This window comes from Homo sapiens, chromosome 15 (assembly GCF_000001405.40).
Source record: "Homo sapiens chromosome 15, GRCh38.p14 Primary Assembly".
In the NCBI taxonomy this organism is placed as follows: Eukaryota; Metazoa; Chordata; class Mammalia; order Primates; family Hominidae; genus Homo; species Homo sapiens.
In genome coordinates, this window is record NC_000015.10 from 79,132,396 (window position 1) to 79,159,035 (window position 26,640).

Genomic DNA, 26,640 nt, shown 5'->3' on the forward strand with positions numbered 1-26,640 from the left:
CTTTGGGGGAATTTAGACTAAGGTACTTAAGGTCTCATGTGTTATGGAATTAAGCTTCTGTGAGGTCACTTCAGTGTCACTTCCTTTTATTCCCTGTAAATCTGATTGCTGAAGCTCTATAATATCAAAAGTCAACACCTTTCTGAACTTCTCCCCAGACCTCAGGGAGGCTGGTGCTGTCTGCTTTGAGGATCTAACACTTTTTACCCTTTACTTCATCTGCATGTGGTTTTCTCAATGTCATTGCTGTTGAGGGGTGATCCTCTGGCCAGGGAACATAGTACTAGTTTATTGTTGGGACATAACTCTCCATGGGGCTGTCATGTTTCTGCATGCCTTACAAATAGAGGCCTTTGTTCCAGACTACTTCTTTCAATGGTGTATATATCCAAATAGCCACGGAAGATAGAGTTAGTGTCTCCCTCTGGAGCAAAGGGCAGGCTTGCTTACTGCCCATTAGAAAATATTTAAGTTCCCTAACTTCAGTGTTCCTCTCCTGAAATGCAACTCACTGAGTATGCAGGTGTCACCTGGCCCTCTTTACATTATCCTGTGGGACAAAAAAATCTGCTGATACTCTGACTGTTGTTATTACAGTGAGTCACACAGTCCTTTTTCTCTGACCCAGGAGTCTTGTGTCTTCTGCCAGCATCCATGAAACTGGCAGCTTAACTCATCAGCTTGTAAAAGTGATAAAACCTCAGGCTCTTCACAGTTATTGATATGTACTATTTTAGTCTTTGCTGAAATTCTAAAGCCACTTTCTTAAGCTATGTTCTTCCCTCAGCCTATGTTATTGCAAGAATTGATTCAACAATCATTCAAAAAATTTTTTGAGGACTTCTTGTGTACCCAGTGCTATTATTGGGCCTGGAGATATGGTCGTAAATGAAATAGACAAACATCCTCACCCTCCTGGGCCTTATATCCTAGTGAAGCTTTAATCTGTATCATCAGCTTCCTCTCCTTGTTTTCTCTTTCTCTTTCTAGATAACTTGGACCTAAATTCACTGATGACACTTTTTCCATTCCCTCCTCTAACCCTGAGACCAAACACTTCCTCTCCCTGTGAAACTGATTTCCTTGAATTTCTGCTCAGATCAATATTGCCAACTCATCATACTTTGAGACGAAAAATCTAGATTCTGCTCCTGACATTGCCACCAACTCTATGGCCTTGAACATGTTGCTTTTGTTTTTATAAGCCTTCACTTCCTCATCTGTAAAATGGGTACAGTGATGTCTATCTTGCTGCTATTGGAGGGATTAGAGGGGATCACGTGTATAAAATCTCTAGATTTTTGTGCAGCACACAGTGACCGCTCAGTTGCCCTCCCTGATCCCAGCCCTAGCCCAATCCCCAGTGAGGATTGGTTGGAAAGGAGAAACCCAAGCACCTCTCATTTCCCATGTTCCTCTGATTTCTGACTCATGGCTGCTTAGATCTCATGTTGGGTCTGTGCCCTACTTTCACACCCTGATTTCCATACAGTAAGCTCAGCCGATTTCTGCTCATGATATGGCACAAAAACTAAAAATTCCACACGAAGAACATGGCTTCCTGCAGCCAGTAGCAGCAACTCCAGACAATTCATCACCAACTAGATTAGAATAACACTAACTTTTGCTACCATAGCAACTTCTATTGGTTGTGCAATCACTGACTTTGGAAGCTACTTAAAAATGTGCAAGGCCAGGCGCGATGGCTCACGCCTGTAATCCCAGCACTTTGGGAGGCCGAGGCGGGTGGATCACGAGGTCAGGAGATCGTAGCCATCCTGGCTAACATGGTGAAACCCTGTCTCTACTAAAAATACAAAAAGAAATTAGCCGGGTGCAGTGGCGGGCACCTGCAGTCCCAGCTACTCGGGAGGCTGAGGCAGGAGAATGGCGTGAATCTGGGAGGTGGAACTTAGTTAAAAGAACCATTTTAAAACCATTTTAAAAAACCATTTTAAAGTTTTGCAATGGTTCCCTCATGCCCATAAAAAAGCAAATAGAAATTAAAAATAAGTGGCTTAATTCTTCCTATCAAAAATAAGGGAAGAGACTTCCTCCTCCCTTTTTCTCAGAGCATTTGCTTTAGAAAACTTGTAAGATTTTTCTCTGTCTCTTTGATATATATGTAAACCTTTTAAAAAGTGAAATAAGCCTATGGCCAGCTTTGCAACCCAAAGATCCAGGAACATCCTTTTTAAGGACTTAAGAACCATTGCTTTGAATTGTAACTATCAGGGAAGATAGGGCCCTTATCTACCAGTTTCTGTGGGAAGGTAGGAGCCTCCAAGTTGTAAAACTACCTCCTGTCAAAAAGATAAAGAGAAGTTAATTTTCCCTTTGGGTAAAACCAATTAGCTAACATAGGGGGTCACCCAAACTATCAAGTGAATTTGAGATGAATTACATGAGACACATGATACTATCAAGTTCTTCTACTTGAGGACTAGTTATTGTTTATCTTGAGAACATGTATGCAGTGTGCTGTATCTGCTTGGTCAAATAAAAGGATGAGAGTTCTCTCTATCTTTACTGTCTCTCTGTGAATTGCCTGAGACATGCATCACGTTCTGGTTTAATGCTCATTCAGTAATAAAAGTGTTGTCTCTCTCTTCCTCTACCTTTGTGGAGAGGTTTTCTGGGTTGCAAGGAGATTTTCTTTTAATTGTATTTCCCTAACATCCACCAGAACCAGATATTTTGAAACAGCACTTATAGAAGTTATCATAATGAATTTGTGGAAAAAGCTGGAGGAAAGTACACCGGGGAATTATAGAAGGAGAAGGAAACTATGTCCAACTTCCCTCCATTTCCTATCACCAAAGAAGGTGGTGGAGCCCTCATTCAGAATGAGCCCTGAAAGTGGTCCTCTAACATTAGCCTTGGGACATGCTGGAATTCTTTACCAGATAATGCCATAGGATCATTGTCTTTGTCTTTTCAGAAAAAAAATCACTGGATATTTGCAGACTTAATTCTGTGCTAGACCTGAGTCTCTAATTCTGTGGTGCATCACCCAGGTTAGGGAGCACCTCGGCCTCTGTCACAATCCCAGGGGCCAGGGGCACCATTCACATTGTAGCTTGTGTGGGTGACACCCCTAGAGTTGTGCAGTGCCAGTGGTGCCTCTGTATATTATGGTCCTAACGCTATGCCCCCAAAAGAGCTTATTTCAGAAAACTGGTGTTCAGTTTACCTATAACCACCTACTGCTCCTGCCTGAAAAATATCTGGGGATAAGTCCAGACAGAAGGCTCTTGAATATCCTAAGAGTTGTTCCTGCTTCTTCATGTCTACTGCAGAATCAGAGCTAGCTATGGAAGTAGAAGGAGTCTTGGGCTGATTTTGTTCCTTAGTAGCTGGGTGACCATGAATAAGTTATTTTTAAACGTTATATACCCTTGTCTGTTCATCTAGGAACTGGTGACAGCACATATATCATAGGATAGGCAGAGATGTTTCTACATGACTGTCTTCTTGTCATTCAAATTGCATTTCAGAGAGGCTTTCCTTGAACATGCAAAATGAAGTAGCTCCTAGCCACTTGCTGCTTAATCCCTCTATTTTAATTCTTTGCATATTTTTATCATCAGCTGACATTTCTTTCCTTCCCACCTTTCCTTTCTTCTTTCCCTTCATCCATTCCTCCCTTCTCTTCCCTACTCTTCCCTTCCCCTCCCTCCCTCCCTCCGTTCCTCCAACTTCCTAACTTCCTTCCTTTTCTCAATCTCCCCCATTAGAATGCAAGATCCATAAGTGCTTGGGATGTAGCCCTCAACAGAGGAGGCTAGTACACTTGTTTAGTTCATTCCTTGGCTGGGATTTCATACTATCATCTCGAAATTTTGAAAGAGACTTTCGTGTCTCTAACCTTGCAAAGCACAGCTTCCTGCCTGACCTTAACACTCCTCAGATATTTCAGATGAAGCCTTTTCACATTGAGCTTTTGGCCCATCCTGTCTTTTATAAACAAAGAACTGAGTTATGTCTCTGAAAAACAATCTGATCGAATAGAGTCTCATGTTTCAAGTTTCCCAAGTTTCCCATTTTCAAGTGTCTCCTGGTGGGATCATCTTTCCTCTGTCTTTGGGAAGCATGATCATGTGTGTGACACTGGAGGGCCCACACCTCTGCAGGGAACCAGGGGCTCAAGCCAAAGAGGCCCTTGCCTGAAGGATATAGTAAGAACCAAACCGCCCCTTGCTATTGTCATTCAGACAGAAGGCAGAGAAGGGCCGCAAGGGGATTCCAGAAGCAGGGGTCAGACTGAATTCTGCTGAAATTTAACTGGGACTAAAGTGAGCACCAGGATCAAGGTAATGTAATGTAAAAACAACTCTAGCCAGAGCCACAGGCATTTGACAGCTCCTCAGTGCACAATAAATACCAGCAGAAATATGAAGCACCTGGGCTGATAGCAAAGGTGGGCCCAGACCCTGAGTTACAGAACTGCCTGCCCAAAGACTGAGCAGAGGGTGCAGAGGTGTTGCGGACATGAAGGATCACATTCCAAATTCATCCCTGAGCAGAAGCCTGTTGTCAGAAACTCACAGTAGGGAGCAAGAGGACTTCACAAAGCTGTAATACTGTGGGGAATTTTAAATATTCACATTTCTTAAACTAGCCTTTCTTCTAAGACATGAAGTGTCTTTCAAAACCATATGGCAGGAGCACACTCAATGTATAATAAAATCCTTGGTTTTGGTAATCATGACGAAGCTGTTGCAGTGTTAAATGATGCCACTTGATGGATTGTGAACACGAAAGTGCCACAGTCAACAAGAGCTGGGAGTTTAATATTTTTAACAATCTCTGAAGGCCTGAGAAAGAATGAAGCAAAATGCCAACAGGTGCTCTTGGCCAGCTTACGGGTTGCCCAAGAAAGAAGAAGGAATGACGGGGACAAAGAGGAGGAGGAATGGAATAAAGAAAAGAAAATAACTTGCAGAGGGAGTAGAATAGAATCTAGTTTTTCTTTTGATAAGTCATTATACTGATAACAGGCAACTTCAAAGCGAAGACTTAGGTTTTTTTTTTTGAGATGGAGTTTTGCTCTTGTTGCCCAGGCTGGAGGGCTGGAGTGCAGTGGCCCAATCTCGGTTCACTGCAACCTCTGTCTCCCAGGTTCAAGTGATTCTCCTGCCTCAGCCTCCCAAGTAGCTGGGATTACAGGCACCTGCCTCCACACCCAGCTAATTTTTTATTTTTTTTTTTTTTTTGTATTTTTAGTGGAAGCAGGGTTTCACCATGTTGACCAGGCTGGTCTTGAACTCCTGACCTCAGGTGATCCACCTGCCTCTGCCTCCCAAAGTTTTGGAATTACAGGCATGAGCCACCGTGCCCGGCGGAAGACAGGTTTTTAGTGGAGCAGAGATATTCTGCTTGGAGGAGATGGCCGCCGGTTGGAACACCACCTCCTGGTCTAATCTCCTATTGGAGTGGGAGGTGCGAACATCAAGTGTGTAGGGAGCCGAGGAAGGCAGGAAACGGGCTGTGAGTTGGCCTCGGCTTCCCTGGGTGAATAGTTTTATTTGCGGTGATGGACTCTCCATTCCTCAGCCCCCTAGACACACACCCAAAAGTCTGTCCTACAGGAAAAAAGAAATACACCGGAGGGCTCTCTCTAAAGAAATGGCATGGTCCTGAGCCAGAACATCCCACCTGGGTATTTGGGAGTCACCCTGCTAGACCCCTCAGCTGGTTCCCTGCTTGTCGCCCTAAGCAAACGAGGCCATCTGCATGCACAGATCTCTCTCTGCTCTCTTGTTGTCTCACTCTTGCACATGAAGGGAAATCAAGAATCACTAAACATTTGAAGAAATCCTCCAGCATGAAAGACAGAGACCAAGGGAACTGAAAAAAGACCCTAAAAATAGATTAATTTTGGGGAACAAAAGGGAACTTACAACACAAAGCACCTCTATTTAGTATCCACAGAAATTCTAGAAGATATATTCATTAACCAGCAAGAGGATGCTGTGAAAAGGTAGCAATTAGGGGCAAGAAAGTGCTTAGACATTGAGAATGACATTGCCAAAGAAGGTTCAAAAGAAGAGTTGGAAGACAAATGTGAAGAAATATCTTTGGAAGTGAATGAAAATACAATAAATAGAAAAGATGTAAGAGAAAAAAAAAAGAGTCACAGATAATCCATTAAGGAGGGTCAACATCTAAATAATTGGAAGCCCAGAAAGCTAGAATAGGGAAAACAGAGGGAAAGAAATTATGTAAATATATAAAAAGGGCGATTTTCCTGACAGGCACAAATCTTTTGATTAAGTGGGTATACCAAGTGCAGAGAATAAGGAATGAAGAAGACCATCACCTGACCTTTTCCTGTGAAATGTCAGGTCACCAAGAAGAGATTAAAAGACTCCAGAGATAACATAGGTCATCTCTAGAACAAAGGTCAATTAGCAATGGTTTTCTCATCTGCAGAACTGGATGCTAGATTGTAATAGAGCAATGTCTTCAAAGTTTTAAGAAAAAAATTATTTAAAAAATAAAAAATTTATGAATCCATTAAAAGATAATAAACCCATTATATGTTAACATAAATAACATTTATTTATTAGTATTTTTTTTAGAGACAGGGTCTTGCTCCATTGTCAGGCTAGAGTGCAGTGGTGTGATCACAGCTCACTGCAGCCTTGACCTCCTGGGATCAGGTGATCCTTCCATCTCAGCCTCCTGAGTAGCTGGGACTAGAGGCCCATGCCACCACATCCAGCTAATTTTTAAATTTTTATTTTATGGAGACAGGGTCTTGCTGTGTTGACCAGCCTGGTTTTGAGCTCCTGGTCTCAAGCAATCCTCCCACCTTGGCCTCCCAAAGTGCTGAAATTACAGACATGAGCCACCATGCCTGGCCATAAATAACATTTTTGGCAACCTTTTAAATGTTTGGCTTAGGAAAAGACAGCTGGAGTCCCATATCTGCTTCTGCATCAAGCTGTTGTGATTTGTTGTTGTTGTCAAGGGAAAAATTAGTAACCTAGAGTTCTATACCCAGCCAAACTGAAATTAGAAGGAAGGAGTACTTTGTTTCCGGACATGCTGGAACTCTGAAATGTTACCTCCTACATTCACTTTGCTGGGGAAGCTGTTTGAAAATGTGCTGCAAAGTAAAAGAGTAAACCAAGGAAAATGAAGATGTGGGATTCAGGAAACTGAGGAATCAACTCTGAAAATCAGTGAGGAGAACTAGAGGGACTTTTGTGCAGGCCAATTCCTAATCCTTGAAAGGGGTCCTTGGGGGATAAAAGGGACTTGAGAAAATAGGTGATATTATGGACTATGGGGGAAAAATGGAGATGCTGATAATAGAAATAGAACATAATTATAAACTTCAGGAAAAGTAAATAGCTATGCAAGAAAGAAGGAGTAGTAATCCTACACTAGTTGGCTCTGCAGTGAAGGATTGCTTCATAATCACAATCACGCAAACACTGCTTATTGAATTTTAGCATTTAGTTTTAACCTCTACACAAAGCAAAGACAACTTAATTTTCGTTACAGAACAGAATGCAAATTTTTTCAGTGTTAAAAATGCAAAGGTAAGAGTTCAGCTGACAGAAATAGAAATATAGAAGGAAGGAGAAATAGCTGAAGGGAAGCCAGGATTACAAGCTTCTCATCTTGGAAAGGGGAAACCGATGGAACAAAAAATACTGTGTTAGTTTATTGTTCATGTTGACAAAGGTAACCAAAAAAGGAGCTCTACCTAGTGCTATAATTGTATTGGGACACTGGGGAAGGTTGGAGGGAAGGGAACGGTTTTAGATAGCGACATTCTCATCCAATACAGCAAAAAGTCAATCTTGCAATAAATTGATACATCAAGAAATAGTGGTGGAAGCCTCTTATTTTGTGGTAGGGACGTAGATGCCGTATTAGCTAAAAATATGGAGGTAGAAGAGGAAAGACAGTAGATTACTGTTTTTATTAGCTGGGTGTTTTAAAATTAATTAATATAAAATAAAAATAAAGAAATAGATTTGTGTGGCCCAGGCCACCAGTATACATTATCAAATCCACTTAGTTCATCATTGTCTTGTGTCTGTGATACTGAGAGGTAGGAATCAGAATCTGGCCTGTTCTTTTTCAACCTACATATCAAATGTGAATCCAAATGCTCCAGGAGAGTCTTCAGGGATCATGGTATGCAAATGAAGACCCACTGTTTTTCAAATAACATGGTTCTTTCATATTGAATCCTATCTCTGTAGGAGGATTGACAAATGTTCTCTATTATCAACCACGACTTAATATACTTTCAGTGGAGGGCTATGGAGGGTGCTGGTAGTCAGGGGAGGGATGGGATAGAAGACAATGTTCCCTTTTACAGTAGTCTTAGTGGTGACCCTAACTCCTAGAGAGACTCCTAGAAAGGTCTTCATCTGTCACCTGCCACCATCCTGGTGCATTTTGGAGAATGCATTAGAAGATCAGTCCAGATACTAAAGAAAAAAATCAGTTCATCAAAACAAGCATGGGAATCAAAACTGATATTTGGCTGCAGCTTCTGACATTCAGAAGGAGAAAAAGGCACAAAGAAGGCAGCCATTAAGAGACTTCATCTAACCAGAAGAGGCAGTTCCTAAGTCAGATGACTGATAACATTGAAGACAAACAACTGGGTGTGCCAGATATACACAGGAGGCCCAGTAGTGGCGAATGATGAGGTAAGTTTTATAATTATCTGCCTGGAAGAGATGTCTCATTATCACCTTTTAGAGAGCATGAATCCATGTGAGCCAGATTTGTTCATTATGTAGCTTTCTCAACAATGGTTTATTTAGGGTCAACTTAATAAGAGTTTGGGAAAGAAGGTAGAGAAAGATTTCCTTGTTCCAATTATATTTCTCCATGTGATAGTCTGTAGGCTTCTGGGGGTTGCTGTCTACAACTCCTAAATGTATGGAATTTTGGCAATTATCCAATTCAAATGTTTGAATGTAGATTTCATGGCTGAAAAATCTAGTTTGACAATTGAAATGGGCATTGACCACATTTTATGGATGTTTAGAATTTTTTGAGCCACATTGCTACATTCAGAGAACATCTACCCTTACAAGTCTGATCTTCCTTAAGGGAGAACCTTGAAAACTTTCTCTAGCTTTCCTGGTGTCTAGGATGTAGGGATATGACCTCATTTCTACTAATCAGTCTTACCTACTTGAGATGTTAATTTGAATGACAGTAACATGAGGAGGGGGCTCTGGGTGGAATCATGTTGCTAATGTGGTTGCTGCTGAGGTTTCTGGCTTTCAGAGATGGAGCATCTGTGTATTAGTCCATTTTCATATGACTATAAATAATGCCTGAGACTCAGTAATTTATAAAGGAAAGAGGTTTAATTGATTCACAGTTCTGCATGGCTGGGGAGGCCTCAGGAAAATTACAATCATAGTGGAAAGTGAAGGGGAAGCAAGGCACATCTTACATTGTGGCAGGAGAGAAAGAGAGAGAGAGAGAGAGTGAAAGCAAGGAAGTGCCACACTTAAAACCATCAGCTCTCTGAGAACTCCATCACTATCATGAGAATAGCATGGGGGAAACCACCCAGTCACCTCCCACCAGGTCCCTCCTCAGCAGGTGGAGATTACAATTCAGATTACAATTTGATATGAAATTTGGGTGGGGATACAACCAAATCATGTCAATCTGCAAGGTGGAGTGGAACCAGGGGGACAGTGGTGGTGGAAGAAGTGAAGGAGGACTCATCAGTAGGACAGTTCTATGGTGTGGTTTGGTCATTGATGTGTAAATCTTAGACTCAAGCTTCAGCTTTTCCAAAAGTTTAGGGAGCAATGCACTCTCCTTTAATGAACTAATTTTCTGTGTCATCAGCTAGACTTGGTCTTTGTTGCTTGCAGCCCAGAATTCTAATCAATGCAGTGATCTGTGCTAATAAAAATAACCAGATAACTCCCAGACTGCTTTGTCAAATGAAAATATAACCATCCAAAAGAAGGATGGTTAATTTATATACTCACAAACTTATTTATTTTGTACAGACACTGCTATACGATTAAGGAAGAGTGGGGAAATTGTTCTACAGACATGAATGAGTTTCAACTCCAGCTTTAGAGACAGAACCCCAAAAGTTTGATAGATTGACATTTCATTTGGTTTTCAAACAAAGTTAACTTGGCTAGCTAACTTTGACTCTGAATATAGTGGCAAAAATGCCTGACAATATAGTTATGATTGTGCCTATCAGTCATCTTATATTATACAAAAAGTCGATGTTTATTCCCCACTGAACTTCTGGAGAGTGGGTGGGTTTTTTCTGCTTGCATGTGATTATAACAGAACTAAGGTTTGGATAGCTTAGAAAATGTTTTCATTGTGTTATTTTCAAGTGCACTTAAATCAGGTTGTTCTTAAACAATTTTAGAGGAAATACAGATTCAATATGAAAATGCACCAGAATTTTATTTACCAAAAGTCAATTCAGTCCAAATTTTCTGAGAAGATTATTTCTGAATGACAGAAATGACAATAGATGTGTTCAGATTCAAAGACTATAACTTAGCAGGATTTCTCTTGTGGGTATTTCAGCTCAAAGGAGATACCAGAAAACAATTTTCAGGTAAAAGACCAGAATTTTAAAGGAGTTAGATGGCCTAATATAACTAAACTGGAAAATTGGATCTGTGATTACTCAAACCAAAAGACAACCCCCAGACCCCCTTAATTATGCCACCAGAAAATAGAATTCTAGGGCAGTGTATCCTCTAGAAGGGGAATCCCTCCCAAAACCTATCTAATACATGGGCATGTAGAACATTAATCAAGGGAGATTTCCTCAGTGTGCAGAATTTGGGGCACCCATAGTGTATTAGTCTGTTCTTGTGCTGCTGATAAAGACATACCTGAGATTGGGTAATTTATAAAGGAAAAGACGTTTAATGGAAGTACAATTCCACATGGCTGGGGAGGCCTCACAGTCATGGCAGAAGGCAAAAGACATGTGTTACTTGGTGGCAGGGAAGAGAGAACTTGTGCAGGGAAACCCCCCCTTATAAAACCATCAGACCTCATGAGACTTATTTGTTATCATGAGAATGGCACGAAAAAGACCCGCCCCAGTGATTCAATTATCTCCCACCAGGTCCCTCTCATGACATGTGGGAATTGTGAGAGCTACAATTCAAGATGAGATTTGGGTGGGGACACAGCCAAACCATATCGTTCCACCTCGGCCCCTCCCATATCTCATGTCCTCACATTTCAAACCAATCATGTCTTCTCAACAGTCCCCCAAAGTCTTAACTCATTTCAGCATTAACTCAAAAGTCCACAGTCCAAAGCTTCATCTGAGACAAGGCAAGTTACTTCTGCCTATGAACCTGTAAAATAAAAAACAAGTTAGTTACTTTCTAGATACAATGGGGGTACAGACATTGGGTAAATACATCCATTCCAAATGGAGAAATTGGCCAAAATTGCATGAGGGCTAAAGGCCTCATGCAAGTTCAAAATCCAGCAGGCTGTCAAATTTTAAAGCTCCAAAATGTCTCCATGAGACATGTTGACTCCATGTCTCACATCCAGGTCACACTGATGCAAGAGATAGGATTCCATGGGCAGCTCCATGCCTGTGGCTTTGCAGGCTACAGCCTCCCTCCCAGCTGCTTTAATGGGCTGGTATTGAGTGTCTGCAACTTTTCCAGGTGCATGGTGCAAGCTGTTGGTGGATCTACCATTCTGGGGTCTGGAGGACAGTAGCCCTCTTCTCACAGGTCCACTAGGCAGTGTCCCAGTGGAAACTCTGTGTAGGGTCTTAAACCCCACATTTCTCTTCTGCACTGCCCTTAGCAGAGGTTGTCCATGAGGGCCCCACCCCTGGATCAAAATTCTGCCTGGACATCCAGGCATTGCCATATATCCTCTGAAATCTAGGTGGAGGTTTCCAAACCTCAATTCTTGACTTCTGTGCACCCATGGCCTCAACACCATGTGGAAGCTGCCAAGGCTTGGGGCTTGCACCCTCTGAAGCCACAGCCTAAGCTGTACCTTGGCCCCTTTTAGCCATAGACACAGGACACCAAGTCCCTAGGCTGCACACAGCAGGGGGCCCTAGGCCCAGACTATGAAACCATTTTTTCCTCCTCAGCCTCCAAGCCTGTGATGAGAGGGACTACCATAAAGGTCTTTAATATACGCTGGAGACATTTTCCCCATTATCTTGTCAATTGACATTTGGCTCCTCATTACTCATGCAAATTTCTGCAGCCAGCTTGAATGTTTCCTCAGAAAATGGGGTTTTCTTTTCTATTGCATTGTCAGGCTGCAAATTTTCCAAACCTTTGTGCTCTGTTTCTCTTTTAAAGCTGAATGCTTTTAATAGCACCCAAGCCACCTCGTGAGTACTTTGCTGCTTAGAAATTTCTTCCACCAGATAACCAAAATCATCTCCCTCAAGTTCAAAGTTCCACAAATCTCTAGGGCAGGGACAAAACCAATCTCTTTGCTAAAGCATAGCAAGAGTCACATTTGCTTTAGTTCCCAACAAGTTCCTCATCTCCATCTGAGACCACCTCAGCCTAGATTTCATTGTTCATATCATTTTCAGCATTTTGGTCAAAACCATTCAATAAGTCTCTAGGAAGTTCCAAACTTTCCCACATTTTCCTGTCTTATTCTGAGCCCTCCAGACTGTTCCAACCTCTTCCTGTTACCCAGTTCCAAATTCACTCCCGCATTTTTGGGTATCTTAACAGCAGCACCCCACTCTACTGGTACCAGTTTACTGTATTAGTTTGTTCTCACACTTCTGATAAAGACATATCTGAGACTGGATAATTTATAAAGAAAAAGAGGTTTAATGGGCTTACAGTTCCATGTGGCTGGGAAGGCCTCACAATTATGGTGGAAGGCAAAAGGCATGTTTTACATGGCAACAGGAAAGAGAGAATTTGTGCAGGGAAACTCCCCCTTATAAAACCATCAGACCTCATGATTCACTGTCTTCACTATCACTCTTCACATATTCACTATCATGAGAACAGCATGGGAAAGAAACACCCCCACGATTCAATTACCTCCTACCAGGTCCCTCCCATGACATGTGGGAATTGTTGGAGCTACAATTCAAAATGAGATTTGGCTGGGGATACAGCCAAACCATATCACATAGTGACTGACCAAGGAATTCAACCCATGGCCAGATAATGGAGTCTTTTTTATTCTTGTATAGTGGGATGTGGCTTACACTAATGATTTAAGACCACACTTACTCTTTTCTTATTTTCCATTTTCTCAATAAGGTGTGTGTGTGTGTGTGTGTGTGCATGCACTTGCACTTATAGCATCATCTATTTGCCATTGTATATTTGGTGTGCTTGGGGGTGGTTAAATGCATCATTTAGTCAGGGTGGGTGCATGATCATTGGGAATACATAATACTTAGGGATTCTGGACTTGGAGATAGACACAGTAATTGGGTGTAACTTTGGAGTTGTCTTCTGTTGACAAGTGTTTACATATTTTTGCTGTATGTAAGATAGTTGCGTTATGTTAGTGGGCATTTAGAAATTATATGCCAGGAAAGCAGTGTGTGTGCACATGTTAGGTATTCAAAGGGTGGAATGTAATAGACTGTTTGCTATCGTTTCTGACTACTCAACACTCTTTTCCATATCCTTCCTCTGGCAAAAGTAACCCACTTTTTCTTTGGAAAACTATATCTGTCTGAAACTTTGTTGTTTTGATGCAGTTGTTAATTACAATGGCTAATCTTACTTTGGCCACAGAAGTGGGGCATGGGACCCAGGCCTGGACAGTCAAGAGTAACCAATGATCTGGACCACAGTGATTGTTTAAAGATGAGTATTTGGCCCAAATTGGGTTAGAGTTCTAACAGATTTTTCAGCTAATAGAGAAGGCTCACACTTTTCTACTGGGAATGCTAGGCTCGGACAATGTGAGACTGTAGCTGCCAGTGGCCAAATAGCCTGCCACATAGAACATACTTTACTAATATAACAGGTAGTCTTTGTTGAACACTTACTATATGTCAGGTGCTATTCTAAGTGTTGTATATGCTTTATCTCATTTAATCTGTGCAACAACTCTATAAGGTTTTTATTGTATCCCAATTTTACAAATGAGAACACTGAAACATACAGAGGTTAAGTAATAAATTGCTGACATTTATGGTGGAACAAGGATTCAAAGTCAGAGAGTCTGATTTTGTAGCTCAAGGTTTTCACTGCCATGCCACACACTGGTAAGCTGAGCAAAGAAAAGTCAAATAGAAAGAAGGATAACTGAGACAAGGAGAGGGAGAAAAAACCCTGATGTGATTTGAGGAAGCCAAGACAAGCAGAACCAAAAGATGAAGAGAAACGAAGCAGTAAATCCAGCTGTGCTGAAACCAGCTGTACTCCAGGGCTTTGCAGGCACTGAATTCATGGTTTCCCTCTAGGACTTAATTGAGTTTTAGCTGGGTTTTTGTACTTGTAACTATAGAAATTTGAACGAATACAACTATATATTATATTCTGTAGCATTGGGGTCTAATAGAATAAAATGTTTGACATCTGTGTAGTCCAATACAGTAGCCACAAGCCACATATGGCTATAAGATTATTAAAATATGCCTAATTTGATAGGGAACATAATTTTTAGTTTTATCTCATTTAAATTAATTAAAATGAATTTCAATAGTCACATGTGGCTAGTGGGTACTGCATTAGAGAGCACAGATCTAGAGGCCACAGCTGGAGCTATCGTCAGATTCTTATATTACTGTCTTTGTTTATTCAGGCTGCTAGAACAAAGTGCCATAGACTTGAGAGCCCAAACATTTGTTAATTGATACATAATAATTATACAAATTATAGAGTACATGTGAGATTTTTGATACATGCATAGAATGTGTAATGATCACATCAGGGTATTTAGGATATCCATTAACTTGAACATTTGTCATTTATTTGTGTTGGGACATTTCAAATTTTCTCTTCTAGCTATTTTGAAATATACAATATATTGTTGTTAACTGTAGTCACCCTACTGTGCTATTGAACACTAAAACTTATTTTTTTTCTATCTAACTGTATGTTTGGACCCATCAGCCAAACTCTCTTCATTCTCTTCTCACTTTCCAGCCTCTGGTAACTATCATTCTACTCTCTACCTCCATGAGATCAACTTTTTTAACTCCCATATATAGGAGAATATGTAATATTTGTCTTTTTGTGCCTGGCTATTTTACTTAACATAGTGACCTCCAGTTACATCCATGTTGCTGTGAATAACAGGATTTTATTCTTATTTATGGCTGAATAGTATTCCATTGTGTATATTCAACATTTTATCAATTTATCCATTGATGGACACTTAGGTTGATTCTATGTCTTGACTATTGTGAATAGTGCTGCAATAAACACTGGGGTGCTGGTATCTCTTTGATATACTGATTTCCTTTCCATTGGATAAATACCCAATAGTAGGATTGCTGGATCATATGGTAGTTCTATTTTTAGTTTTTTGAGATGCCTCCATATTGTTTTCCATAATGGCTGTACTAATTTACATTCCTGGCAGCAGTGTATAAGAGTTTCCTTTTCTCTGCATCCTCACCAACATTTGTGTTTTTTTTTCTTTTTTGATAATAGCCATCCTAACTGGGGTGAGATGATACCTCATTGTGATTTTGATTTGCATTCCCTGGTGACTAGTGATGTTGAACATTTTTCATATACCTGCTGGCCATTTGTATGTCTTCTTTTGAGAAATATCTATTCAGATCATTTGCCCACTTTTTAATGAGACTATTTATGGGTTATTACTTTTTGCTGTTGTTGTTGAGTTGTTTAAATTTCTTGTAGATTCTGGATATTAGTCCCTTGTTGGGTGAATAGTTTTCAAATTACACAGGTTGTCTCTTCACTCTGCTGATTATTTCCGTTGTTGTGGGCATCTTTTAAACAGCAGAAATTTATTTCTCACAGTTCTGGTGGATGGGAAGTCCAAGATCAAGGCAGCGACAGACTCAACGTCTGGTGAGGTCCTGTTTCCTGGTTCATACATAGTGCTTTCTCATTTCTTCACATGGAGGAAGGGTAAGGGGTCTCTCTGGGGCCTCTTCCGTAAGGGCAGTATTCCAAGTGCCCTTATAGAAGATCTGCCATTGTGAGCTAATCTTCCCCAAACCCCATCTCCTAATACCATCATCTTGGGGTGAGGATTTCAACATATGATCTTTTTTTAACTTTAGGAAATTGTGTTAGTTCGTTCTCACTCTGCTATGAAGAAATACCCAGACTGGGTAATTTATAACAGAAAGAGGTATAATTGACTCACAGTTCCACATGGTTGGGGATGCCACAGGAAACTTACAATCATGGTGGAAGGAGAAGCAAACACGTACTTTTTCACATGGCAGCAGGAGAGAGAAATCCAGTGCCAGCAGGGGAAATGCTGGATGCTTATAAAACCATTGGATCTCATGAGAACTCACCCACTATCATGGAAACCACATGGGGGATACCACCCCCATGATTCAATTACCTCCACCTGGTCTGGCCATTGACACATGGGGATTATTACAATTCAAGGTGAGATTTGAATGGGGACACAGAGCCAAACCATACCATTTCTCCCCTGGCCCCTCACAAATATCGTGTCCTCACATTTCAAAACACAATTATGCCTTTTCAACCATCCCCCAAAGTCTTAATTCACTCCGGGATTAACCCAAAAGTCCACGTTCAAAGTCACATCTGAGATAAGGCAAGTCTCTTCTGTTTATGAGCCTGTGAAATCAAAATCAAGTTAGTTACTACCTAGATACAATGGAGATACAGGCATTGGGTAAATACACCCATTGCAAATGGGAGAAATTGGCCAAAACATATGGACTACAGGCCTCATGCAAGTCCCAAGTCCAATAAGGCAGTCATCAAACCTTAAAGTTTCAAAATGATCTCCTTTGATGCCATGTCTCACATCCAGGTCATGCTGATGCAAGAGATGGGCTTTGATGGCCTTGGGCAGCTCCACCTCTGTGGCTTTGCAGGGTACAGCCCCCCTCCTGGCTGCTTTCATGTGCTGGCATTCAGTGCCTGTGGCTTTTCCAGGCACATGGTGCAAGCTGTCAGTGGATTTACCATTCTGAGGTCTGGAGTACAGTGGCCCCCTTCTCACAGCTCCACCAAGCAGTGCCCCAGTGGGGACTCTATGTGGGGGCTCCAACCCCACATTTCCCTCCCACACTGCCCTAGCAGAGATTTTCCATGAGGGCTCCACCCCTGCAGCAAACTTCTGCCTGGACATTCAGGCATTTCCACACATCCTCTGAAATCTAGGTGGAGGTTTCCAAACCTCAATTCTTGACTTCTGTGCACCCGCAGGCCCAACACCGTGTGTAAACCATCGAGGCTTGGGGCTTGCACCCTCTGAAGCAACAGCCCAAGCTGTACCTTGGCTCCTTTTAGCCATGGCTGGAACCAAAGCAGCTGGGACACAGGGCACCATGTCTTGAGGATGCCCTAGGTGGGGTGGGGTGGTGGGGGAGGGGAGGTAGTCTGGGCCTAACCTCTGAAACCACTCTTTTCCCTCCTGGCTTCTGGGCCTGCAATGGGAGGGGCTGCTCTAGAGGTCTCTGGCATACGCTAGAGACATTTTCCCCATTGTCTTGGTGATTACCATTCAGTTCCTTGTTACTTATGCAAATTTCTGCAGCTGGCTTGAATTTCTCCCCAGAAAATGGGATTTTCTTTCCTATTGCATTGTTAGGCTGCAAATTTTCCAAACTCTTATGTTCTGCTTCCTCTTGAATGCCTTGATGCCTAGAAATTTCTTCCACCAGATACCCTGAATCATCTCTCTCAAGTTCAAAATTCCACAGATTTCTAGGGCAGGGCAAAATCACACCAGTCTCTTTGCTAAAACATAGCAAGAGTCACTTTTGCTCCAGTTCCCAATAAGTTCCTCATCTCCATCTGAGACCACCTCAGCCTGGACCTCACTGTCCATATCACTATCAGCATTTTGGTCAAAACCATTCAATAAGTCTCTGGGAAGTTCCCAACTTTCCCACATTTTCCTGTCTTCTTCTGAGCCCTCCAAACTGTTCCAACTTCTGTGTGTTACCCATTTCCAAAGTTGCATCCACATTTTCAGGTATCTTTATAGCAGCACCCTACTCTCTGCAGTACCAATTTACTGTATTAGTTTGTTTTCACACTGCTATGAAGAAATACTCAAGACTGGGTAATTTATAAGGGAAAGAGGTTTAACTGACTCAGTTCCGCAGGGCTGGGGAGGCCTTAGGAAACTTATAATCATGGTGGAAGGAGCAGCAAATACATCCTTCTTTACATGGAGGCAGCAAGGAGAAGTTATATATTATAAACATAATATATAATGAGATTAGTCACTCACTAGTTAAGATATACAAGACAAAAAGGGAGAAAACAAAAATATATAAAATATAAAAAATTTGAAATGAGAATGGAAAAATAATCATAGAAACAAAGAAAATTAAGATTTAAGAAAATACTTATTTCTATGTAAAAAATTTTGAAGAAACTGGATTACTTTCTTGGAAAATATAAAGTTCCCAAATTAATTGTGTTACAGACAGAAGACCTAAATCCACCTGATGGATTGTTGTGGAATAAAATGAGAAATTTGCCAAAGAGTTACCCCCTTCCTTTAAACAGCTATGTAGTATTTCATTCCAAATATATTTAATCATTTCCCCATTGCTGGGCTATTTTTGACTTTACAAGTCTTTTTTTTTCAAACAAAAATTGAATTCTGTATGACTATAGTTAACAATAATGTATTGTTTATTTCAAAATAGCTAGAAGAGAAGATTTTGAATGTTCTTACCAAAAAGAAATAATAGACATTTAAGATGACAGATTTGCTAACTACCCTGATTTGATGATTCACAATGTTTATAAGCATCACAACATCAAATTGTTTCCCATAAATATGTACAATTATTATGTCAATTAAAAATGAAATGAAATTTAGAAAAAGAAAAAAATGAAATTCTATAAAATGTGAAGGAAAACAGAGTTGCAAAACCCCTTAAATTGCATTAGAGGACTGCAAAAGAAACACTACAAGTTTTGCCTTAAACCAGTGTGATATGGATTTCAAATCCAGCAAAGCATAAAAGAGAATAATAGCGATGAACTTCACTTATGATGATCAATACAAAATCCTAATAAAATAATAGTGAATGAAAACCAGTAGCACGCTAAAAGAAAGAGAAAGGCCTATAACCAAATGGGGCTCAATCCAGGAGTTACAGATGGTTCAATATTAGAAAATTTTTTTACACTTCATTTGCTATCATTCGTATTTTATTAAACATTACAAATGTTTAATGGAATAATAATAAATCTGATGAAAATAAATGGAATAAAAAATAAATAACGGAATAAAATAATACATGGAATAATAATAAATTGAATAAAATGGAATAATAAATGGAATAAAAATAAAATGTTTAATGTTTAGTAAAATATGAATTAGGGAAACTCATAACAAAACAGGTATTTTCTTAATAAAACAAGAATATATATATATATGTTGTACTGCTATACAAAATTGTGCTTGTAGTCAAATATATATGTGCGTGTGTGTATATATACATATATATGTGTATATATATGTGTGTGTATATATATGTATGTGTATATATATATATATATTTTTTTTTTTTTAGACAGGATCTCTCTCTCTCTCTCACCCAGGCTGTAGTTCAGTGGTGCAATCATAGCTCACTGCCCTCCTGGGATAAAGGGATTCTCCTGCCTAGGCCTTCCGAGCAGCTGGGACTACAGGCATGCACCACCGTGCCTGGTTCAAAAAACATATCTTAAACCAAAAGTAAGCACTATTCTTCATGATGAAAACCTATTAATACTGTTAAAATCAAGAAGATAAGGATGCTCACTCTCACCACTGTTATCTGATAGTTTTTCTAGAGCACTAAACAATAAGAGAAAGAAATACAGGTATAAAAATTGTAAGCCAAGAGTGAGAAGCAACCTAAATGTCCATCAATGGATGAATGGATAAAGAAGATGTGGTGTACATGGGCATGTTATTTGGTCTTAGAAGAAGGAAATCCTGTCATATTCGACAACATGGATGAACCTGGAGGGCATTATGCTAAGTGAAACAAGCCAGTTGTGGAAGAGTAATACTGCATGATTCCACCTCTATGACATATCTAAAGTAGTCAACCATAGAAGCAGAAAGTAGAATGGTGAGTTTAGAGGAGAGGGAAATTGGGACTTGCTATTCAATGGGCATAAAAAGTTTTGGTTATGCAGGATAAAAAGTTCTAGAGATCTCCTGTACAAAATTATGCTTGTAGTTAAATATACTTTACTGTACACGTTTATTAAGAGCGTTGATCTCATGTGTCTTTTTACTATAATACATTTTTTAAAAAGAATAAAAATCATAAAGGAAAAGACAAAATTATTATTTCCAAATGCTGTGATTGTATAACTGGAAAACCCAACAAATAAACTGAAAAAACACTATTAGAAACAGTAGGAGAGGCCAGGCACAGTGGCTCATGCCTGTATTCCCAGCATTTTGGGAGGTCAAGGCAAGTGAATCACTGGAGGCCAGGAGTTTGAGAACAGCCTGGCCAACATAGCGAAACCCCATCTCTACTAAAAATACAACAACAACAAAAGTTAGCCAGGCATGGTGGCATGTGCCTGTAGTCCCAGCTACTTAGGCGGCTGAGGCACAAGAATCGCTTGAGCCTGGGAGGTGGAGGTAGTGGTGAGCCGAGACCTCACTACTGCACTCCAGCCTGAGTGACAGAGTGAAACTGTCTCAAACAAACAAACAAACAAACAAACAAAACAGTAAGAGAATTCAGGCTTCTGGTTCCCAAATCAATGTGCAACATTGATAATGTTCCTAAATAACACTTTACTAGTTAATACGACGGTATAGAAACGTGTGAAAAGATATCCAATTTCATTCATATTTAATAAGATCAAATGAAAACAAGGACTCCTTTTCACTTATCAAGTTGATTAGGTTAAAAACCGACAGTATATAGAATTTAAACAGAACCAGACATTCTTATAAAATGTTAATGAGTCTGCAAAATTGGTGCAACTTCTTTGGTAGGCAATTAAACATTATCTAGCATCATAAAAAGTACAGGCACCCTTTGACTCAGGAACTTATTCAACAGATTGCTTTCATGTGCACAAAGATATATATACAAGGGTGTTTATTGTAGCATAGTTTGAAACAGCAAAAGACTTGTAAAATGGGAAATGTCCAGCAAAAGGGGAATGAGTAAAGGCATTTGGAATAGACTCCTATATGGCTGTTTAAAGGAATGAAGTAAATCTATATGTGCAGATATGGAACAATCTCTGTTTTAGTCCCTTTGGGCCACTATAACAAAATATCTGAGATGGGGGAATTAATAAACAGCAGAAATTTATCGCTCACAGTTCCAGAGGCTGGGAAGTCCAATATCAAGAGGCCAGCAAGTTCAGTGTCTGTTGAGGGCCTGTTCCTCAGAGATGGTGCTTTCTTTGTGTCCTCATACGGCTGGAAAGGTGAAAGGGCTAACAAGCTCCCTCAGGACTCTTTTTTAAGGGCACTAGCCTCATTCATGAGGGCTCCACCCCATGACCCAATCACCTCCCGAAGCCTTGCGTCTTAACACTGTCACCTTGGAGGTTAGGTTTCAACATCTAAACTTTGGGGCAGACACAAAGATTCAGACTCCGCAATCCCCAGTATAGATATTATGAAAAAAGCCACAAGACGTGGAGTAATGCCTGTAATATATTGCTATTTGTGTCAGGAAAAAAGATGTATATTAACAATAATTTCTGAAAGGATAAAACAAAATAAGTGAAGACCTGTCAAAAGGTGTCCAGAAGCCCAGAGAGGAGGGAAGGCTTGCTTTTCATGATGTTACCTTGGACATGCATCACTTTTCTGGTTAAAAAGGCCAGTATAAGCATGTGAATGGATCCAATATTCATTATTCATTCACTCATTTATTCATACAGCATATATTGAGCCTCCTTGCCCTCCCCCTCCACACTTCTGTATCAGGTACCATGCTAGACCTGGAGGATAGAGCAGAGAACAAGACATGCCTGTTCCAGTACCTTCCTTCATAAAAGTTTAGCAGTCTAGACTAGGGCTTTTCTACTCCAAGTGTGGTTTGTGGACCAGCAGCATCCACATCACCTGAGAGCTTGCAAGTCAGATTCCGCATTTTAACAAAGTCCCCAGGGGATTCATTTGCACAGTGTGATTTGAAATCTCCATTCTAGGGATCATCCTCAAATAACTCTAGTCTCGCTGGTTCAGATATGGTTTCTGGCCTAGAAGAGAGAGAGAGCACAGCTTTAGCTAGTTGGGAACATGCTGAATATACTCACAGGAGCATTGGGGGGAAGGAGGTTAAATACCTGCAGTCCAAATTGTGCTATAACTTTACACTAATTTTTCTCCTGCTTTTTCTCTCAGGAGTTAACAACTAAATAGCTTTGCTATGCTGTTGCTATAGCAACAGGGTTCAGTAGCGCTTTGACTGTTTCCTATTGCCAGAGCCTCGCGACTAGTCTCTCTGCCTCCAACCGAGCCTGTTTTCAGTTAATCAAAGTTGAAATCAAACACGTGGCGATTGGGACAATCACAGTCCCTGGATGATACAGCTGGTATAATAACCGCCTAACTTTGCCTTAATTTAGGACTGTTTAGGATTATGTGCAACTGATTCCTGAAATCTGACCGTAGTCACCCCTTGCCACGGAGAGAAAAATAACTTCTTTGACAGTTGCATATTTTTCAATTTCTAATTTCTATAGGTTTTTTTTGCTGTATAAATATAGTAAAAAATTAGGAAATGCAAATGAATGAAGAATATACAATCTAAGTTCACACATATCTGTTGTTTTTTTGTGACTGCACATTAAGCCACTGTTGGGTAAAATGGGACAGTGTGTGTGTGCATCACCTGGTGCTGAGCCCAGCACATAGTGGGTCTATAGGCATGAGCATTTCATCCTTCCTTCTCCAGGTGACAAGGTCTCGGGCATACGCCTTCCCTTGCCATTCCCCAGTGACTGCTACCAAACCCAGGCATTCAGATCTACTGTGGATCCACAGCATCTCTGGCATTCCGAAGCATCTTCATATAGGTGTTTCCTGTGTAGACACAAAGCGACAACTGTCTTTGTCCAAAGGACAGTGCCTAGAAATGCAAGTACTAGGCACCCCATAAAGGGTAGCCCAGTTCCTGTTGACTGGTTGTGCCTCAATTCTTCAGGGGCCTCCTCTTTAGCTACTTCTTCTCTTCTGTTTATTTTGAAACAAATCCAGAGAATTTGGAGACAAGGAGATCATGTGGACCAGTTTCCTGACCTCTGATAAGGCTTATGCATTTTATGGATGTGATAACTGTGATCCAAAGAAGTTACATGAGGTCATACAGCAAATTGATGGCAGAGGGGAATGAGTTCTCCTGGTTTATCCACTACAACATTATTTTTAAATTTAATGTTTTGTTGGGTTATAACATATTGCAGTGAAGTGTGCACATCTTACAAGTATAGCTCAGTGAAGCTTCGTATATGTGTACACCATGTAACCACCACCACCATCAAGGCAGAACTTGGCCAGCACCCCAGCAGGTTCTCTGATGCACCTCCCAGTTAACATCTTTGCCAAAGTCAAGTGCTATAATCCTAGATTAGTTTCACCTACAATCTATGGCTCTGAGGATCAGCTACTGCTACTGCCATCTTACACATGAGCAATTTGTGACCTTCATTAAGTGGCAAAGGCTACATAACAACAATAACATCTAATATGGGTGGACTGCTACCTCTGTGCCAGGCACTGTGCATGTGTGTATCTCATTTAACGCTGACAGCTCCATGAGGCAAACACTGTTACCACCTGATAACTCTCTCCTCTTTCTCTCCCCTCATCTCTCTGTCTCCCCTCCTCTCTATCTTATCTATCAGGATTTATCATAGAAGTTTGACCTTCACAATGTGGGGGCTGGTTAAGCAATCTCTGTGAGGCAGGTTCATTGCATCTAATGTGGAACCTTGAATTCCACAGGGCAGGCAGCTGGGAAGGGAGATGAATGAGCAGGAGAGAGCAAGAACCAGCTGGATCCCATGAGCACAAACTGGAACAAGGGGACCAACTCTCCTGTATTTCCAGGACTAAAGGGGTTTCCAGAGATTCAAGACTTTCAGTTTTAAAATTGGGAAAGACCCAGGCAAACTAGGGGGAGGTGGAAACCACGAGGACAGCCTGCGAGCCACATCAGTTCTTGCACCTCCAGCCTTGGCAGTTTGGGCATCCTTAGGGGAGGCTGGTGCCCTGTCATAGAGCTGAATACACAGGCCTGACTCAGAGGTTGAAGAGGCTGAACAGAGATCTCAGGGAAGGTAGAAAAGTCGCAGGCCCCACACCAAAGACGTAGGCCAGCAGGTAAGCAACAAGCCGTGTGAGCTACAAAATGGCTGCCAGCTTCACTTCCACCCTGCAAAGCTGTTGCCCGAAGGTTTCCTGTAAGCCATCCTAGCCAGAAATACACAGGGAAGGGAATTCTGTAAAATGGAGCTCAGCCTAGCCAACTGAACAGATTACGAAGCCACCCCTCCTTTACAGATGTGGAAACAGCCTCAGAGAGGCTAATTAACACACCCAGACCCACACAGCTAGCAAGGGACTCTAGCTGTAGAGTCTCATCCTAACCCAGGCTCTATTTCACATGCTCTGGGAGGTCAGTGATACCAACAGCTGGGCAAAGTTCCAGGACAAAGTTTAGGGCAGGTTCCCAGGCACAGAAGCAAGTGGAGTTGAGGCCATTAAAAGCAGGGGTCTGGTATTGAATTGGCCAAGCTGTATAATGTCCCGCAAGTTAGTGAACCTCTGCAAGCCTGAGTTTTCCACTATGTGAAATGAGTTCATCATAGTCCCTATCTCACAGGGGTTTTAGTGAGGTTGAAGGGAGATGACCCAAGGATTCAGAGAGCCCAGTTGCAACCTGTAATTCAAGAGCTGTGTAAAAGCTCTTAGGACTGGATGACAGAGCAGGAGCTATCATTGCCTAACCCTAGGAGACTCCCCTCAGCTCCAAAGTACAGAAGAAGAGTAGGACAGAGACCCGAGGCCCCCCTGCATAGAGCTAGTTGGGACTAGGCCCAGCTCAGGCTGTGGAGTGAGGCATTAGGAGGGCTGCAGAGGCAGATACTGATGGAGTCAGTGGGGTGGAGGGGTGGGGGGGCACCTGTAAGGCCTTTGAAACTGAGAGCTCCCTGAAGGTTTCACCTGTACCCACTTCCCCCAGCTGAACAGCAGCCTTTCAGAGGAGGTGGGTAAGGTGTGCTTCCTGCCACCCTGGCAGCTCCGGGTGAGTCAGCGGGACTCCCGGGCTGCAGGACAGCCCAGGTGGAGTGGGAGGAATGAAGCAGAGCCCTCGCAGCCTGCTTTGCCGCAGGCAGTGGGGGCAAATGCACCAGTTTCCCAGAGTTTGGTGCTAAATTTAGAACCCATCGTCCTAGTGAGCTCAATCACTGTTTAGTCAGAAGCGAAATCCAGGGCTGATGAAACTCACCTGCCTGTCACTGCCCGGCTGGCATGTGCCACCACCCATGGAGGGTGGCATAGGAAGCTGACAGCATCCAAGTCTGTGCCTCTGACCCTTGCCACTCCTGCTCTGCCCCAAGGCCAGGCTGTGCGACCACCAGGGCAGGTCCCTGACCCTGGCCCTTGGGACCAGAGAGCCTCACACGGTTCTGCTGCCTTGGACCTGCTGACTAGCCGCGTTCTCCTAGCTAGGCTAAATCTCCAGCTGTTCTTCTGAAAGCTTCTGCTGCATTCTGAATTTAACACTGGGAGAAATGGATTCAGCACCAAGGTTGTGAGGCCCCAGGGATCTTGCCTATTTGGCTTTCAGGGATCAGTTATTTCCCAAGGCCAGGGCAGAGGGCTGGCTCAATGGAAGTCAGGCTTGGGGACTGAGTGAGTACTTATTGTATGCCAAGCCCTGTGCGAGGCCTGTAAATGCAGGAGCTGGCAATCCACAGCAGTATTTTAAAACTGGGAATCCCACCCCATCACAAAATCAATTTAGTGGATCATGACCAGCATATAAGAAAATGAAACAAAATAGAGAAGATCAGAGGGACTGAAAGTAGAAAGGGTAGATATTATTTTCTGAAAATGTATGTGTGTAGGTGAGTACTAGATTGTAATATACAATGTATTTGTTAATAAGGGCCAAAGTCTAGAAGAGTTTAAGAAACCCTGGCCCAGAGTGGGAGGGAAGTATCCCAACACAATGTAATTGTAGGTGTGGAAAGAGAAGAGACCTGGATTTAAATCCTGGATCCACAGCTAGCCATGTGATCCTGGTCTAGACAGTATCTCTGTCTATTCTCACTGACTGCTTTTATTTTTAAGGATGATAATGCCTTCTACAAAGAGTTCTTAATGAAAGCTAGAGCTGAGGCATGCCCAGGTGCTAGCGCAGTGCCTGGTACCCTGTTAGGTGTTCAGGCCATGGAAGCTATTTACGTTGTTATAAGCACTGCAAGAGACCTGGAGGCAAGGGAGGGATTAACTCCTGGGGGGCTGGCA

General features: G+C 41.6%; 1 long non-coding RNA gene across 1 annotated transcript; it reads right to left on the reverse strand.

The window, feature by feature from the left end:
* Window positions 1-22,002: 22,002 nt before the first annotated feature.
* LOC107984750 (uncharacterized) lies at window positions 22,003-25,839 on the reverse strand. Its single transcript, XR_001751627.1, has 3 exons — window positions 25,616-25,839; window positions 22,997-23,187; window positions 22,003-22,361 (listed from the first exon to the last, which is right to left on the reverse strand). It is a non-coding gene; the product is annotated as an uncharacterized LOC107984750 (long non-coding RNA).
* Between the last annotated feature and the right edge of the window lie 801 nt (window positions 25,840-26,640).